The sequence below is a fragment of the Homo sapiens genome, chromosome 8 (assembly GCF_000001405.40).
Source record: "Homo sapiens chromosome 8, GRCh38.p14 Primary Assembly".
Taxonomy (NCBI): Eukaryota; Metazoa; Chordata; class Mammalia; order Primates; family Hominidae; genus Homo; species Homo sapiens.
The window spans coordinates 28,459,966-28,479,668 of NC_000008.11; the positions used below are offsets into that span (position 1 = coordinate 28,459,966).

The 19,703-nt window shown below is 41.2% G+C and overlaps 1 protein-coding gene across 2 annotated transcripts in view, besides 1 other annotated feature; it reads right to left on the reverse strand.

The window, feature by feature from the left end:
• The window catches only part of FBXO16 (F-box protein 16), a 61,818-nt gene that overhangs the window by 31,554 nt on the left and 10,561 nt on the right, over positions 1-19,703 (reverse strand). The window contains exons 3-4 of one of the 2 annotated variants that reach the window (NM_172366.4): positions 13,807-13,842; positions 3,647-3,853 (exon numbers count right to left, since the gene is read on the reverse strand). In NM_172366.4, coding sequence (NP_758954.1) covers positions 3,647-3,853; positions 13,807-13,842 — 243 coding nt within the window. The remainder of the gene's footprint in view (positions 1-3,646; positions 3,854-13,806; positions 13,843-19,703) is intronic. The other variant, NM_001258211.2, reaches the window with a different exon arrangement.
• Positions 14,746-14,805: an enhancer, noted in NCBI's record as "active region_27173". NCBI's record gives its function as "activates an Ori minimal core promoter by ATAC-STARR-seq in GM12878 lymphoblastoid cells {active_cell/tissue: GM12878}" and the evidence as "EXISTENCE:reporter gene assay evidence [ECO:0000049][PMID:35858748]".

The following is a 19,703-nucleotide window of genomic DNA, read 5'->3' on the forward strand; positions in this document are numbered from 1 at the left end:
CAGTGAGCCGAGATTGTGCCACTGCACTCCAGCCTGAGCAACAGAGCAAGACTTCATCTCAAAAAACAAACAAACAAAAAATCATTTTTGGAATAGGTATGTGCATACTAATACCAAATTCAAAGAAACAAAGGAAGTCCCTCTCCCATCACTATCCCCCAGTTACCCATTCTTCTCCTTGGATGAGACCACTGTTACCAGTTTCTGGTATATAATTCCAGAATATTCTAGGCATACAGTAACAAATATATATGTGTGTGTATATATATATATATATATATTTTTTTTTTTTTTTTTTTTTGAGACAAAGTCTCACCCTGTTGCTCAGGCTGGAGTGCAGAGGCATGATCATAGCTTACTGTAGCCTTCAACCCCCCAGCCTTAAGCAAGCAATCTTCCTGCCTTACTTAGCCTCTCAAGTAGCTGGGACTCTAGGCACATGCGCTATACCTGGCTAATTTTTTTTTTTTTTTTTTTTTTGAGACAGCGTCTCACTTTGTGACTCAGGCTAGCAGTGGCATGATCTCGGCTCACTGCAGCCTCCAACTCCCAGATTCAAGCAACCCTTCTGCCTCAGCCCCGCCAAATAGCTGGGATTACAGGTACACACCACCACACTGGGCTAATTTTTGTATTTATAATAGAGATGAGTTTTCACCATATTGGCCAGGCTGTTTTCAAACTCCTGACCTCAAGTGATCTGCCCACCTTGGCCTCTTAAAGTGCTAGGATTACAGGTGTGAGCCACCTCTGCGCCTGGCCGACCTGACTAATTTTTAACTTTTGTAGAGACAGGGTCTTGCTATGTTCCCAGGCTAGAGTACAGTGCTGCAATCTTGGCTCGCTGCAGCTTTAACCTCCTGGGCTCCAGCAATCCTCCTACCTCAGCCTCCCGAGTAGTTGGGACTATGGGCACGTGCCACCACACCTGGCTAATTTTTGTATTTTTTGTAGAGATGGGGGTCTTGCCATAATACCCAGGCCAGTCTCAAACTCTTGGCCTCAAGCAATTGCCAGCCATGGCCTCCCAAAGTGCTGGGATTACAGGCAAGCCACTGTGCCTGGCCGTATATATTCTTTATTCTTTATAAGATGGTAGGACAGTTCTATACCTCTGCTTTTTTTTTTTTTTTTTTACCAATGACGCGTCGTGGAGATAGTTGCAACTTATTTACCCAGTCCCTCCTGGTAGACATTTTCATTGTTTCCAACCTGTTGCTAGGACAGACAATGCTGCAATATTCTTATACAGGTATGGCTTTTACCATGTTGCAGGACACCCATCAGACAAATTCCAAGCACTGGAACTGCTGGGGCAAAGGGAATTTTTATTTGAAATGTTAACACTGCCCAATGGTTCTCCATGGTGGTTACATCTATTTATCTACCAGCAATATATGAAAGTTCTTGTTTCCCCACATCCTCACCAATATAGAATATTATCATTTAAAACAAATCTCAATCTGAGTCAAGAAAGATGGCATGCCATAATGAGGCTAAGCATCTTACATATTCTAGAGACATCTGCATTTCTTTTTCTGCAGATTACTTGTTCATTTCCTTTGCTCATTTTTCTGCTGGGTTGTTGGTCTTTTTTTTTTCTTAATATAGATTTATAAGAGCTCTTGAAAAAAAATAAAGAAATTAGCCCTTTGCATGCAATCGATTTTTTTCCCTGCCTACTGTTTGGATTTATTTATGGCGTTCTGTTCCATGAAGAATATTTTAATTTTTATAGTCACAATTTAAAAATCTGCTTCTTCATTCTTGCTCACGATACATAAAATGAAGAAAGCAAGATTTTAAATTGCATATTTTCTTTTAAGACTTCTGGGTATCATGGAATACTCACAAAGGCTTCCTTTCCTGTTTTCTTTGAGGACTTTAATAGTTTCCTTTGGTTTTATCTGTCTTTTATCCTACTGAAATTTTTTTTTCCAGAGAGTTGCTCAATTATCCCTACACCATTTATTGAATAATACTTTTTTTTTTGAGACAGAGTCTCACTCTGTTGCCCAGGCTGTTGTGTAGTGGCACAGTCATAGTTCACTGAAGCCTCAACCTTCTGGGTTCAAGTAATCCTCCCACTTCAGCCTCCCAAGTAGCTGGGACCACAGGCACACGTCACCACACCCACCTAATTTTAAAATGTTTTGTAAAGACGAGGTCTCCCTATGTTGCCCAGGCTAGTCTTGAACCCCTAGGCTCAGGCAATCCTCCCACCTTGGCCTCCCAAAGTGCTGGGATTACAGGTGTGATCCACCACACCCGGACCCATCTTTTCTCCTGCATTCATTTTCTTCTTCTTCTTCTTTTTTTTTTTTTTTTTCTGAGACGGCGTCTCGCTCTGTCGCTCAGGCTGGAGTGCAGTGGCGCATTCTCGGCTTACTGCAAGCTCTGCCTCCCAGGTTCACGCCATTCTCCTGCCTCAGCCTCCCGAGTAGCTGGGACTACAGGCGCCCGCCACCACGCCCGGCTAATTTTTCGTATTTTTAGTAGAGACGGGGTTTCACTGTGTTAGCCAGGATGGTCTCGATCTCCTGACCTTGTGATCCGCCCGCCTCTGCCTCCCAAAGTGCTGGGATTACAGGCGTGAGCCACCGCGCCCGGCCCCGCATTCATTTTCTTAATTTTAAAAACTAAAGTTAACATGTCACACATATATGAATGCACACTGGCAGGTAATATCTGGTCTTGCCAAACTCTATGAAAAGACTCAACAAAATGACTATCAGTTTTATATCTAAAATAATTTAACTTCACTTTAATACAGGACAGAATTACTTGTAAAAGAAAAAAACAGAACAATCATCTCCTTTTCCAAGGCCTGTATGAGCACACCTGCCCACTTGGATCTCTTTTAGTCTCATTCTCTTTTGTACATATCTCATTAGGTCCTTATTTTGAGCTTTTTTATTCATGAATGCCCTGTGCTCTACAATTGAGGACCTTATTGCAGCTGAATGCTGTGCAGTATAAGACCGTCCTGCTGATGAACCATTTCTTACATGTATATTTAGTTCCCCAACTAGCTAATACTTCTTTGTTGTACACTAATGTGGCTTATACTTTTTTCCCCATTTGAGTTCTAAATAGAGTTGGACACAAAGATGGTGGAGGTTAATCCAAATGTACAAACATATTGATCATCCCTTCTCTTTCTTAGTTTTGTGTGTGTGTGTATGTTTGTGTGTGTATGTGTGTTTGTGTGTGTATATGTGTGTATGTTTGTGTATGTGTTTGTGTGTTTATGTGTGTCCGTGTGTGTGTTTGTGTACACGTTTGTGTGTTTGTGCGTGTATTTGTGTGTGCATGTGTATATGTATGTTTGTGTGTGTTTGTGTGTGTGTGTATATGTGTATGTGTGTTTGTGTGTATATTTGTGTTTGTGTATATGTGTGTATATGTGTGTGTTTGTGTGTTTGTGTTTGTATGTATTTGTGTGTGTGTATATGTATGTGTGTATATGTGTATGTGTGTGTTTATGAGTATATGTGTGTCTAAGTGTACATTTGTGTGTGTTTGTGTGTATGTGTATATATGTGTGTGTGTGTATGCCTGTGTTTCCCCTTAACTTCTAGTTTCAAGTTTCAAGTTTCCTAAGGCTGTCCTCACAAAACACCACATACCCCTTCCTTGCCTTTACCTGTGCACAACGACAAAGGCTCCGAGGGTCCAGGAAAGAAAAGATGTATAAAGATAACACCCTTGGAAGCTTGGTTGTAAAGTCCAGGGCTTCTGCTGGAATTTTCTCTTGAAGCTTTCGACAGCAGAACTTTTGCTGGGACAGCGAGCAGCGCTCCAACAGGCCTGTGAGGATTCTTCTTCTTTGAGAGTCTGTCCATTTGTCAAACTGGAAACACAAAACAAAGCAAAATGTAAAAAGCTCCAGGTTTAGTCTGATAGCAGATTCATTACGAGTAAGACATGACAATGGCATAGAAAGGGAGTTTAGTAATTTATTTCTAGTATTTATTTCCCTAATCAGCAAATTCCATGCTTTGCCACCTATCTTCTCTCACATTTATATGGGAGCATGTGCATGACCTAAGTGCGCACACAGAAGTGCATGTGACCTCAAAACTTGCAGTCACATGTGAACAATAAATTGGGAGCTGGCCATATTCACAAACTGAGAATATATCTGCTTATAAAAGACAATTTTAAGATAAAATAACTGTGCAGCTCCTCCCCCCAAATAGTTTCTGCATTATCCCATCAGTGCTTAAAACAGCAGGACCAGAAACAAATCCTTGTATTCACAATTGGAGATAAAGTATTACAAGCAAATATCCCTCAGAAGGAAAGTATATTGGCGTAAATTCTCACTAGTATGTAAATGACTGATATGATTGGAGAGGATGTGTTGATAAAGGAGGACTTGAAGAGAGGAAGTGAATGCCAAAGGAAGCCAGGGTATGTCCAACAATTGGCTACTTCACAGTTTTCCTCAGAGATTACCCTGAACAACACCCAAGATCAGGGAATGACCAAGGATGAGCACCTTGAGACTGCCCAAAACCAAAAGAGAAAAAGGGAACAACACTACCAGCTTAGTGAGCTACTTCACTGGAAGTCTTAATCTCTTTTCTTCCCTGGCCCATTGGGGAAGAGAAAATAGGGAAGTTTGAGCTGGTTGTATTTTTGTATATTATTGCATTTCACATATATTCAGTACAGTTATTATAAACAGAATTTTTTTTTTTGAGACGGAGTCTCACTCTGTTGCCTAGATTGGAGTGCAGTGGTGTGATCTTGGCTCACTGCAACCTCCACCTCCTGGGTTCAAGTGATTCTCCTGCCTCAGCCTCCCGAGTAGCTGGGATTACAGGCACGCGCCACCGCACCTGGCTAACTTTAGTATTTTTAGTAGAGACAGGGTTTCACCATGTTGGTCAGGCTGGTCTCGAACTTCTGACCTCGTGATCCACCCACCTTGGCCTCCCAAAGTGCTAAGACTACAGGCGAGAGCCACTGTGCCCGGCTATAAACAGAATTTTATAATCTGTTTATAATTATTTTAGTCATAATCATAAAATACACTGACTACCTAAAAAGGCACGTAAAGGAAAAATTTATTTTTTGCAAGCCTTACAACAAGTTAACTTCATCACAGTTGTACAATGTATTTTAAATTTATTTGATTTTTTTTTTTCTTTTTGGCTTCACAAGGGTCAACTTGATATATATTTTTTAATTAGTAGTGTTAAAAAACAAAATGTCAACAAATTGCGTTTAAAGATCTAATTGGCTTTTATTAGCGATTCATGAATCAGGTAGCATCCCATCAAAAGAACAGATAAGAGCTCCTCAGAGCTGAGCAGAGGAGGTTGGTTGGCTTCAGGGGCAGAAATGTGTTGAAGAAAGGAGAAATAGGCCCCGTGTGGTGGCTCATGTCTGTAATCTCAGCACTTTGGGAGGCAGAGGCAGGAGAATCTCTTGAGCCCAGGAATTTGAAACCAGCCCGAGCAACACCCCATCTGCACAAAAAAATAAAAAGTTAGCTGGGTATGGTGGTGTACGCCTGTGGTCCCAGCTACTCAGGAGGCTGAGGTGGGAGAATTGCTTGAGCCCAGGTGGTGGAGGCTGCAGTGAGCTGTGGTCATGCCATTGCACTCCAGCCTGGACAGCAGAGAGAGGCCCTGTCAATAAAAATAAAAAAAAAATAAAAAATTTTTAAAAAAGCAGAAATAAGGAACAAAAAGTGGATTGATTGTTTCAGAGTTACTTTTCTCATAAGATTAAAACAGAGGGGACTTTCTTACGCCAGCTCAGATAAACTGGGGCCCTTCAGATTGGTTGCTGTGAATCTCCTGTTTTGGGTTTTTGTTGTTGTTGTTTTGTTTTTGTTTTTGTTTTTGGTCCTGGTTTTCATTTTTAATTTAAACTGGCACTTTTTAAAGTTCAGTTTGATTACGTGAGAGTGCCTCCATTCTGGGTTGGTTTGGTCTGTTGGGGCCTAGTATAGGAGCTCAGTCCAAAACAATGGCCTTCCATAAATTTTAACATTAGAGGCGTGGTGGCTCATGCCTGGGAGGCCGAGGCCGGTGGATTACGTGAGGTCAGGAGTTCAAGACCAGCCTGACCAACATGGAGAAACCCCGTCTCTACTGAAAACACAAAATTAGCCAGGCATGGTGGTACATGCCTGTAATTCCAGCTATTCGGGAGTGTGAGGCAGGAGAATCGCTTGAACCCAGGAGGCGGAGGTTGCGGAGTGCTATTGCACTCCAGCCTGGGCAACAAGAGCAAAAACTCCATCTGAAAAAACAAAACAAAACAAAACAAAAAAACAGTAGAATAACAGTAGAAATACTTCCTAAATAAAACTATTCACTACTATAGATTTATTCTATGACCCACAAATCTCACTTTGGAGACTATCACTGCAGTGGGGAGGAGGAGGACCCTAAAATGAAAAAACAAAAACTTTAACTGCGAAGACTACAGGAATAAAACTGATTCATGTGTGAGTGTTCCCTGACATCTCCTAGCCCCGTTTCTATACAAGCCATATCTCCAACTCCCATAAAAGGAGACTTCTGGCCAGGCGCGGTGGCTCACACCTGTAATCCCAGCACTTTGGGAGGCCGAGGTGGGTGGATCACGAAGTCAGGAGATCGAGACCATCCTGGCTGACACGGTGAAAACCCATCTCTACTTAAAAAAAAAAAAAAAAATTAGCCGGGCATGGTGGCAGGCGCCTGTAGTCCCAGTTACATGGGAGGCTGAAGCAGAAGAATGGCGATAAAGAGCCAAAAGGAAGGTGAGAGGCGAGAGAGGAAGAACAGTTGGAAAGTTGGCTTGACGGGAGTTGTGGGCCTCACAGAGGCAATGGTAGCCTCTACGGCAGCTAGTGTGGGAGAGCTGGGGAGTGAAGGCAGATTGGAGGAGTATGGCTGTGAGTTTTGAACTGGATCTCCTGTTTTCCTTGAAAGAGACAAAATGAAGATTGGAATTCATTTTACTTATTTTTTATTTCATTCTGTTTTTTTAGAGACAGGGTCTCGCTGTGTCGCCAGGTTGGCGTACAGTGGTGCAATCCTACTCACTACAGCCTCGATCTCCTGGGCTCAAGGGATCCTCCCACCTCAGCCTCCTGAGTGGCTGGGATGTGCTACCACATCTGGCCTGGAATTCATTCTAAAATTACTTTTGGGCAGTGCTATGTGAGTCTGGTGGGGCTGAGCTACGTTGAGACCCAGGATGATTACGGTTACAAAAAATTTTCATAAGATATTATGGCTGCCACAACAAAATCAAAGATAACTCAAAATGCCTAATAGTAGGGGATCAGCTAAACAAACCGTAATATATCAACATGATAGGGGAAAGCAGGGCATTATGGGTTGATGGTGGGCTTAGGAATAAGACAATTTGATGTCTCACTCCCAATATTCTATTAGTTCTTTTACTCATCAGAAATATGTCAGCCTCGATTTCCTCATTTATACATTAGAGATAATTACATCTACCTTGTAGGGTGGTTGTGAGGATTAAATACAATAATATATGTATAAAATTCCTAATAGAGTGCATGACTCATTGTAGACATGGCAGCTACTATTAGAAAATGTCACAGTGATGTTAAAAATAATATGTATGTGGGTTAAGTAACTATAAAAAGATGTGCGCATAAAATTACCATGTTTGTACATTGACAAGGATGGAAAGTGCATTGAGAATAAATGAGGTTAGCTCATCTACTTTCCCGCTGTCCCCAAAAGAGAATGGACTCAGGTTGCAGAATGAGTGATTTAACACGAATATAAAAGAACATTAGTATTACACAATACTGAAGAAATCTATAAAAGAAAACATTAAAACACTTTCCCCAGCGATTAAAAAGATAATTACATTGGTTCCTCATTTATTTCCCTGATTACAATGGTCAGAGGTAATTTGTTTGGCTTTGATAGGTGTTCTTTGCCTCAAGGGATTTTCCTTTCTAATTGTGTTTGTTTAGGCTAATAGAAAACTAATTTACATTCCTTAAACTACCAACTGAAGAAGGTTAGATGACTCAGAAGAATGCTGAACAGTAGGGGAAAATCCCTCTACAATTTAGAAGGTGCTAGAAATAATCCAAAAAGTAGATAATCCATGGAGGGGTTAACTGTACAGGAATTCAGTTATCCCCCACGTCTCTTGCGTCACCTCTCAAGCAAAAATACCCCTAACTGAGTAGCCAGGGACCTCATGTATGAGATTGGGGGACCGTCAGGACCATTATTCTCCTATTCTAGCATCATGTACGGTACCTTGCTTCCCAATTCATTCCTGAAGGATGCCTTTTTTAAGGCTTTCTTGACTCAATATAACTATGCACATCCTATTTTTAGAGTAGTTGTTACAAGGATTCTTGCTGCCATTTCAGGAAGTGAGAAGGTTGCTAGGGCGATCAGGTTCCACCCACCTCACACTGAATGGCAAAAAGAGGGTGGGAGGGGGATAAAGAGAGAGGCTTGTTTCTGTTGACTTATTGGTTATACGATCTCTTCTGGTTGAGTTTCTGAGTCCTATTATCAAAAATTTAATTTCACAAAGTGTAAATACGTTTTTGTCTTAAAAGTTTCAAACAGGGCTGGGCGAGGTGGCTCACATCTGTAGTCCCAGCACTTTGAAAGGCCAACACGGAAGGAAGGATTGCTTGAGCCCAGGAGTTCAAGACCAAAACCAGCTGGGCAACATTGCGAGATCCTGTTTCTTAAAATAAAAAATAAAATAAAATAAAAAGATGGGCATGTTGGCGTATGCCTGTAGTCCCAGCTACCGGGGAGGCTGAGGTGGGAGGATCACTTGAGCCCAGGAGGTAGAGGTTGCAGTGAGCTGAGATCACGCCACTGCACTCAAGCCTTAGCTACAGAGTAAGACTCCATCTTGAAAAAAAAAAAAAAGTTTCAAGCAGGCACACATAGAATCAATAGAATAAAAAATGAAAAGCTTCTTTAACACTGCTCCCCATTAAATCTCACTTCATCTCCCACAGATAACCAGTGTTCAAAAGTTTGATGTTCATGCATTTCCTTTTTTTCTAATTAAAAAAAAATTTTTTTATTAGGGCCGGGCATGGTGGCTTATGCCTGTAATCCCAGCACTTTGGAAGGCCGAGGCAGGCGGATCACCTGAGGTCAGGAGTTCGAGACCAGCCTGACCAACATGGAGAAACCCCATCTCTACTAAAAAAAAATTACAAAATTAGCTGGGCATGGTGGCACATGCCTGTAATCCCAGCTACTCGGGAGGCTGAAGGAGGAGAATGGCTTGAACCTGGGAGGCGGAGGTTGTGGTGAGCCGAGATTGCACCATTGCACTCCAGCCTGGGCAACAAGAGCGAAACCCTGCCTCAGAAAAAAAAAAAAAATTGTTTTCAGAGACAAAGTCTTGCTATGTGGCCCAGGCTGGAGTGCAGTGGCTATTCACAGGCATGATCATCGTGCACTACAGCTTCAAACTCGTGGGCTCAAGTAATTCTCCTGCTTTAGTCTCTGGATTAGCTGGGACTTGAGGCATGGCACCACCATGCCTGGAAGATTGTCATGCATTTCTATACATTCACACACACACATATCTCCATCAGCTTAGTGGCAGTGAAATAAATTAGAGTACACCCATCCCAGGGAACACTATGTAGCAGTTTAAAAAATAAACAAAATGGCTGGGAGTGGTGGCTCACGCCTGTAATACTAGCACTTTGGGAGGCCAAGGCGGGTGGATCACAAGGTCAGGAGTTCAACACCAGCCTGACAACATGGTGAAACTCTGTCTCTACTAAAAATACAAAAATTAGCTGGGCATGATGGCGCACACCTGTAATCCCAGCTACTCAGGAGGCTGAGGTAGGTGAATCTCTTGAACCCAGGAGGCGGAGGTTGCAGTGAGCCGAGATCGCGCCAATGCACTCCAGCCTGGGCGACAGAGCGAGACTCCGTCTCAAAATAATAATAATAATAATAGGCCGGGCGCGGTGGGCTCACGCCTGTAAACCCAGCACTTTGGGAGGCCGAGGCGGCTGGACCACGAGGTCAGGAGATCGAGACCACAGTGAAACCCCGTCTCTACTAAAAATACAAAAAAAATTAGCCGGGCGCGGTGGTGGGCACCTGTAGTCCCAGCTACTCGGGAGGCTGAGGCAGGAGAATGGCGTGAACCCAGGAGGCGGAGCTTGCAGTGAGCCGAGATCGTGCCACTGCACTCCAGCCTGGGCGACAGAGCAAGACTCCGTCTTAAAAAAAAAAAAATAAAGTCATAATAATAATAAATAAGTGAACAAAATGTAGCCACACATGTCCTGATATGTAATGAACTCCAGAGCTTTTTGTCTTCTCATTCAGTCATAGCAGGATGAATATGGCATTTTCTATTTACTCAATTTACTACTGATACCATTACTACTGATACCTTTCCAATAGGAAGAAAGAAAAAGGAGGAGGAGGAGCAATATCTTGGCACATGCTTTTTCATGCCTTTTCATGTTCTAAATGAATATTTCTCTAGTATACATAAATAGAGGTTCAAAGCGTACGTGCATTTAACATTTTAACAGATCCTGTCAAATTGTCTTTAAAAGGTCTTTACCAAGTGAGTTTAAAAGTATCTTCCTGCTTTCCAGTGAATCCTTTCTTACAGGGTATATTATATATTATTATCTAGCTCTTCAATTTTTGCCATATAGGCAAGGAAGAGAGAATTTGGGAATTTCGTTGTTTTCATTTGCATGTCTCTGATTTTGGTAAAATTGAGCATATTTTATATGCTTGTTGTTCATTTTTTATAATATTCTTCATTCTTATATTAGCCCATTATTCTGTAGGGATATTTGTATTTTTCTTATTGACTTGTAGGAACTCTTTATATATCCTGGATATTAATCATTTTGCTATCATGCAATTTGCAAAACAGTTTTCCTTGTTTCTCTTTTGAATTCTAACTCTGATTATGGTGGTTTCCAGCAAGTTAAAAGTGATGCCATCTACTTTATTAAAATGGGTTATTATGTTACTATTATTTATATTAGCAACAGAGCAGAAGCTGAGAGAAAATCTGAGATTCTTTCTCTTTTCACTTCTCCTGTGGTGTTCTCTCTCAGTTTGGGAGGGAATCACCTTTTCTAACAGGGATTGAAGGGCAGAGAAGATTTGAGAGGAAGGGGATTAAGTAGTAGCATGAAACAGCAAAGTAGAAGAGCTTTTCAGTTTCTCTTAATTATTTTATTTGCTGTTGTACAGAACATTAGACAGGTATGGCCAAATATAAAAATACTTCCGGACTGTCTATCATTGAATACAATTCATATTATATTTTATCTCTCACTGTCTAGATTCTTTTTTAAAAAATGATTTCACTTCTAATACTAGATTAAACTTTAAAACTAAGACAGTGCTTGATGTCTACAGTGAAAATCCCAAGTAATGCTAAGTAAAAACACTGGTATCCTTATTTCCCCTTCCTTCCTTCCTTCCTTCCCTCCTTCCTTCCTCTCTCTTTCTTTCTTTCGAAAATGCATTTCTTATGTTACTGTCTTGTCCATGAAACACACAAACAAAGAAAATCTAAAAATTAAAATGGAGACAGAAATGTAAATAAAGATAAATTATAAATATCTCCTTTAAGCCCAATTCATTGGGTTTTTGCAGGGGTACATAGGCTACCATATGACTTAGTGATTTTAAGGAATAAGTTTGTTTGGGGAAAGGAGAAAAACAAGAGACCATTATTTATTGATTTAGAAAATATCTGTTAATGCCTGGTAAGCATCAAGGAATGTATAACGAAAAACAGGAAGAAGCCAGCCCTGCCTCCATAGATTACTCTCTTGAAGAAAGAAAACAGAGAATCTCAAAAAAAAAAAAAAAAAAAAAAAAAAGCCCAGAGATGGATATTTTGATCATCACCCAGGGATGGCCATTGAGACTTTGTGTCCCTCCTTTTGAGGCACAGATGAGAAAGTCCTAGTTTTTGATGAAGGATAGTTGTATCTTGTTAGGTAAAAACATAACATTGTTACAGTTCTTGTATGGAAGTGTCAGGATCTATAGAAGGGTATATATGAATGCTGAGTAGCCAAATGGGTAAACTGTGCTGGTTACTAAGCTACTGTCCCCCAGATCCAAATTCATCTTTCTATTTTGGGGTTTGTTTGTTTTGAGACATGGTCTTGCTCTGTTGCCCAGGCTGGAGTGCACCAGTGCAACAGCTCACTATAGCTTTGAACTCCTGGGCTCAAGCAATCCTCCTGCCTTACCCATCCCAAGTAGCTGGGACTATAGGAAAGCACCACCATGCCTGGCTAATTTTTTTAATTATTATTTTTGTAGATATGGGGTCTAACTGTTATGTTGCCCAGGCTAGTCTCAAACTCCCGGCCTTAAGCTCTCCTCCTCCCTCAGCCTCCCAAAGTACTGGTATTACAGTTGTGAGCCATTGCACCTGACCCATATCCACCTTTCTGTGCTCTACTTTGTGAGCATAGAAGGCAGGATCTCTTGGGCTGGGCATGTGGTTCGCACCTGTAATCCCAGCACTTTGGGAGGTCAAGGGGGGGCGGGGTGGATCACCTGAGGTCAAGAGTTCAAGACCAGCCTGGCCAACATGGTGAAACTCCATCTCTACTAAAAATACAACAAACTAGCCAGGCATAGTGGTGGGCACCTGTAATCCCAGCTACTCAGGAGGCTGAGGCAGGAGAATCACTTGAACCCGGGAGGCGGAGGAGGTTGCAGTGATCCGAGATGGCACCATTACACTCCAGCCTGGGCAACAAGAGCAAAACTCCGTCTCAAAAAAAGAAAAGAAGGCAAGATCTCTATCACCATATTTCTCCTTTGACAGCTGGCTCCCTGATAAATGCTGCCAATGAGGAGGAAGGTGCTAGAGGGAAACTGAGGGAGGAGAAACTTACTCCTATTTGGTTGCTGTTCCTATCAGGATCACTTAACTCTTGACCCTGACAGTAGCTGTTGATTCCAAGGTCCAGTTTTTTTCCCATACACCCAGAACCATCATGCTTCACCAACTGTATCAGAACCAGCTGGCTGTGATGTCATCTACTTTATTCCACAGAAATCTGGCTTCCCTATGGGGCTGAAGGTCTTCCCTCTGAGCTCTCAGTACCAGGAAAGCTGATGGTAGCTAATTCCCAAAGTTCTGTCTCCCTGGAACCTCAGCATTCCCTTTTTGTCTCTTCTGTTCTCCAATATTTGCTTAACCAATCCTTTTCATTGAATTATGTCTGTTAAAATAAGATACGACTTCTGTTTTCCTGACCAAATCCTAACTGATACCTACAGAAAGCACCTGCCATGCTTCTCAGGAAATGAGGAAGCACTCCCTTAAATCCAAGCTGAATTCTCTGGCCTCTGTGATAATGCTACAGACTGAATGTTTACATCACCCCCAAATTCATGTTGAAATCTCAACCCCCCAGTGTGATGGGATTAGGAGGTGGGGTCTTTGTGAAGTGATTAGGTCATGAGGGTGGGGCCCTCATGAAGGGGATTATTGTCCTTATAAAGAAGACCCCAGATAATTCATTCTCCCTCTTCTGCCATGTGAGGACACAGTGAGGAGGTGGCTGTCTATGAAGAGAGGCCTCAGCAGACACTGAATCTGCCAGCACCTTGATCTTGAGCTTCCTAAGCCTCCGGAACCATGAAAAACAAATGTCTGGGTTTTTTTCTTTCTATCCAAGTTGAGTAAAATATGTCTGTTATTTATAAGCCACCCAGTCTGATTTTTTAATAGCAGCCTGAAAGATGAAAACAGATAACATAACATAATGCAAAAATAGTATTTTTAAATGTTTACCCATTTGCCAAGCAGGGCTCTTCTTTCTTCAAATACCTACAGTAAGTAAAAAAGAATATGGTAATTTCATATACCATAGTTCAAAATACCCATTACAAGAAAGATACCATTAAGGGATCGGTGAATAAACATTCATTGTATCAACTGAATATTAAAAGGCAGATTTTACTCCTGAGGTTATATATTTTTACCCTGGGCAAGGTTTCTCTCTCTTTTTTTTTCTTTCAGTTTCTACATGTGGAATAATTCATATGAAAGAAGAAGTAATAAGGCTGGGTTCAGTGGCTCACACCTGTAATCCCAGCACTTTGGGAGGCCAAGGCAGGCAGATCATTTGAGCTAGGGAGTTTAAAAGCAGCCTGGGCAACATGGTGAGACTCTATCTCTACAAAAATACAAAAAATTAGCCAGGCGTGGTGGTGTGTCCCTGTAGTCCCAGCTGAGGCTGAAGTGGGAGGATCGCTTGAGCCCGGGGAGTTGAGGCTGCAGTGAGCTATGATCACGTCACTGTACTTCTAACCTGGGTAACAGAGCCAGACCCTGTCAAAAAAAAAAAAAAAAAAAAAAAAAAAAAAAAAAAAAGAGAGAGAAAGAAGAAAAGAAAAAATGAAAGAAAAGAAAAGAAAAAATAGTTTTTTTAAAGTGAAAGAAATTTTAAAAATGGAATTATAAAGAGAAATCAATTTTAGAATTTGAAAGGAGATGAAAAAACTAACGAAAAAACAGGAACATGAAACTCCCCCATCTGAAATGTTTCAATATTAATAGTATGAGAATTTACAAAACAAGTGAATGATCAGTTCTGTTTTTCTATTTCAGTGTATACACATATCACAGATGTGATAAGTACTCACATATGTGTATAAGTATGTACACATCTGTAGGATTAGAAATGTGTGTGTGTGCACCTCTGAGCTTCCACTTGAATACTTGTTGGTATAGGTTTATTACAATATATTATTTAGGACAGAAACTAAGTCTTATTCATCTTGACATCTCCAGTAGAGTGCTTACAGAGCATGTTACAGGTATCTATGTTTATTGAATTGAAAGAATGTGATTGTGAGAATGAATATCCTTATGGATGTATCAGTACAATGTGAGTATCTTTACATATTGGTGTTGAGGTGGTTTTCTGAGCATCAGTGCATATGTATATTTCAGTGAGTGAGGAAAGGAAGACTAACGTGGGGACACGTGGCAGAGAAGGGGGTTATTAAGAGAGGAAGAGAGAGTCATGAACATATGTGAATGTCTCGCTTGCTTTATCCCATACACCCTCTGTCAGCTTTCAAAATTGGGATTGATGTTTTTCCCTCCTCTTGGCACTTGCTACATTCTCTAGTGCTGTAAGAATGTCCCCACTTGGAGAGGTGGCTCAGGCCTATTTCTTCTCTTTTTATGGAAGAGGCTGAGGAGCTGGTTTTATGCTTCCCACACATCATGCTTTCCTTCCTTTTTTAACTCTCAAGCTCTGGTTGCCAAGGACATACAAAATAGGAATTGAAATAACTGGTTCAACCACCACTTTGGGACCAGTGAAATGTCAGTTTTGCTCTTGGCCAGGGAATCTCTTCTGTCACAGACAGACACTTTTTGCACATAAGAGAAGAAGAAAAAGACCCTCCCCTGCAGCTAACTGCCACCTGGGCTACCAGGACCCTCAAATAATGGCAACAGATAAACTCAGAATTTCTAGATGAAAAGAAGTAGAGGAGAATCTGTAGAACACAGAAGATTCAAAGTATCTGGATTCAAATATTGTCTGAATTCTTCTCTATCAATCATGCATCGCCCAACCCATGCAACCAATGTTGTCACTTTTCTGATGTCCAGGGATTTCTCTCCTCCTAACTCCTACTCAATTTATAGTTCACGCTTCACTTAGACCTTACAGTGTTTGTTTTGCTCTCTAGTGGTTTCTGTTAATTTTATCTTCCCAAGTAGATTACAACCACTTTCTCTTACATGCTCCACAGAACCCTCAAGTACAGAGTCCATGGAAGGCCCTCAATAAACCATTTTGCTGATTGACTAACAACAACAAGAAAGCTTCAGAAGTCATAGAATTTTAGAGCTAAAATGAATCCTAAAGGTCTTTTTGTTCGATTCCCATATTTTAGAAAGGATAAGCAGAGGACCAAAGAGGTTATATTTACAGATATTTTAAAAATCCCTGGGTCCAAACTGTGTGTTCAGCTCAACACTGCACTTGATTCCTCACCAGATCCTTGGTCTTCCCCATTCTGACTTCCAGCCTTACATTCTTGATGTACTTCTGCCCATGCTTTGGTCTGACTACAGGAAGAAGAAGAGACTACAACAGAGCTTCAAGAGGAAGTTGAAGCATGGTGTCCAATGATGGTGTGGCCCACTGGAAACAAAAGGAAACTGACTTAAAGGGGAAAAGACAGTCAACAAGAAGGTAGTAGAAAAGGAATAGGGTGGATGTTGGGAAGTGCTACGCAGGTTAAAACACGAGACAAAGTCTAAACAGAGTCCACACAAGTCCAGCTCTTTACCAGAAGGCATCTAGACTCAAGTAGAAACTGATGGGACAGAAGGGGTAGAGGAAAGACACTAGACTGAAAGTCAGGAGACCTCAGATCTGGTTCTGACTCTACCCTTGACAAGACATATCATTTTGGGCAGATAATTTTGTTGTCAGGTTCTCAGTTGGACTTATAGTCTTATACACCCTGGTTTGGAGCAAGTCTTTATTTCAGAGATTTGCAATCAGGTTCTTCATTTTAAAGAGCTGGAAAACAAAGTATTTCTTCCAAATGGAAATATTAAAATGGATCTTCTTTTCTTGCAAGATGCTGCAGTCTGTTTATATCACAGTTTACTCAAAGCCTGCTGTTAAGTCAAAATCCCACGGTTGTTATTTTAATCTGTTGACACTGTAGTTACATATTTTACCGTGTGACATCATTACAATGTAGGAGTGAGATATTTAGGGGCCCCTAAATAATGATTGATTGATGGTAACTGGGTGCTTTTTCTCAGAACACTTTTTTAACATGTACTGTACAACATGTGTGAACCATACCGTAAAAGAAATGTGGATCACTTTCCTTTCTTTTAAAAAACTGTGTATATTTAAGGTATACAACTTGATGTTTTGATATACACATACATAATGAAATGTCAAGGAAATTATCCTATCCGTCATCTTCCATAGTTACCTTTCTATGTATGTGTGATAAAGATCACTTTCAATTAAAACACTAGTTGGCAAAGAAATACACACTTTAAAAACATTCCTTCACCCAAAATTCACAATGCTTGAATAACTTACTAATCTGTTATATATGCCTATCCTGATGACGCAGTTTTTTTTTTTAGGCGTCTAAATTTGAATTTAGAGAATTCAATCTTCTGCTTAAAACCTGCTGTGAAGTTAAAATCCTGTGACTCTTATTTTAGTCTAAGATAGTTACATATTTCACATTTTACTACAGAATAGAAGAAAGACAAAATTAAAACAAAAACAAAAAACAGGGCCTTAAAATTTCACTGATCATTGGTGACAAATGCCCTCATTTAGAAGTATGGAAGCCCCTTGAAATTATTGTCTGGATACCTTTTGGCCAGCTGTCTCCTCGGGCATCTATTTTTAATTCCTTTCACACAGTTAGAATGTTAGATCCAGAAGGGACCTTCAAGGTCATCTGATCCAATCCACTCATTTTACAAAGGAGGATAAAGCCCAGAGAAGGTAAAACTGGTACAGCTGATTTGAAACCAGAGTTTTCAACTCCAGAGTTATTGTTCTTTGTTTACTTATATGTATGGGTGTGTGTGTATGTATAATATACGATACATATTTATGTTCTAATTTGTTTTAAAATTGGAAACATTGCTGCATTGTATGAAGTAAGAAAATGAAAGCTCTCTCTTCTAACACACCCTCCTCTGTCCACCAACACCCATATAACTCTTTGGGAAAAACCAGTATTAACAGTTTGATATAGCTGGGCATGGTGGTTGACACCTGTAATCCCAGAGCTTTGGGAGGCTGAGACAGAGGCTCACTTGCACTCAGGAGTTTGAGACCAGGCCTTTTCTCTAATAAAAACAAAAACAAATTAGCCGGGCATGGTGGTGTGAGCCTGGTGGTCCTAGCTACTTGGGGGAATGAGACAGGAAGATAGCTTGAGCCCAGGAGGTGGAGGCTGCAGTGAGCCGTGATTGTGCCACTGTACTCCAGCCTGGGTGACAGAGTGAGATCCTCAAAAACAAACAAACAAACACCAGCTTGGCATAATCATACACAAATTCTATGTGTGTGACTCTGCATTTGTACACAACTTACGTGTATATATACACACAAAGATTTTTAAAAATAATTTTATGCCACACAAGAACCTAACTAAACCAAAAAATTATTATTATTATTTTTGGAATAAAATGGGAGTTCGGGACAATAAAATACATATTATCTTGAGAAGTGATCATTACATTGGATAAAAATCTATTAAAGAACCAATGAGTACTGTGATGTACTCGTTCCCCTCCAGAACTGAAGGATTTATTTCCCCACCTGTTGGAAGGCTGCTGGTTGACAGGTACAAGCTTGAGAGAGCCGCCTTGCCCAAGGTCAGACCTGGCGGGGGTGGGTAGGCAGCTAGCAGCCACTGAATGTTCGGTCAGTGTGGAAGTATAAAAACCAGACCCTCTCCCTCCCTTACCCCTTGCCACAATGTAAGACAAATGTTGGGGTTTGGATCTCTGTCCCCACCAAATCTCATATCAAATTGTAATCCCCGGCTGGGCACAGTGACTCATGCCTATAATCCAGCACTTTGGGAGGCCAAGGCCAGTGGATCACTGAGGTCAGGAGTTCAAGACCAGCCTGGCCACCATGGTGAAACTCCATTTCTACTAAAAATATGAAAATTAGCCAGGTGTGGTGGTGGGTGCCTGCAATCCCAGCTACTCAGGAGGCTGAGGCAGGAGAATCGCTTGAACTGGGAGGCAGAGGTTGCAGTGAGCCGAGATCACGCCATTGCACTCCAGCCTGGGCAACACAATGAATTCTGTCTCCAAAAAAAAAAAAAAAAAAAAATTGTAATCCCCTATGTTGGAGGTGGGGCCTGGTGGGAGGTGATTGGATCATGGGGGCGGTTTGTCATGGTTTAGCACCATCCTCCTAGTGCTGTCATCAGCGGGAGTGAGTTCTCATGAGATCTGCTTGTTTAAAAGTGTGTGGGACCTCCTGTCTCACTCTTCCTCCTGCTCCTGCCATGTAAGATGCCTCCTCCTGCTTTGCCCTCTGCCACGATGGAAAGCTCCTTGAGGCCGCCCCAGAAGCAGATGCCATTATGTTTCCTGCACAGCCTGCAGAACTGTGAGCCAATTAAACCTCTTTTCTTTATAAATTACCCAGCCTCAGGTGTTTCTTTACAACCAATCTGAAGCATCATGGCAGCTTCAGGAAGTCCTATGGGGTCAGTGGAGACCTCACTGAGACTGCATTCCAGCCCAACTTCTTCCTTTGCCCTGCATCTGACCCTTTTCTCTCCTTTTCCTTTTATTTCCTTCCCTTCCCAGGTGCTGATCCTGAAAGTCCTCTCCAGTCAATGCTCTACATGCTAATCTCCGAATCAGCTTCTCTAAAAATCGAATTGCAAGAGGCATTCAGGCAATTTTTTGCCTCCTAAGACACTTTTCTTCTCCACAGCTGCTAAATTGATCAAGACTCGTAATTTTTCGAAGAAAATTTCTGAAAATCAAGGAATCTAATTAACGCATATTTGAATTCAAGTCACTTTTTCAATGTGTGTAAAACCTTCACAATTCTATGGGAAGACAGAATTCAAAATGAGACCCTGAAGTTTTGGTAGGGGAAGCAGATAAACTGTTATATAAACTGTGGGAGAGCTTCGAGCATT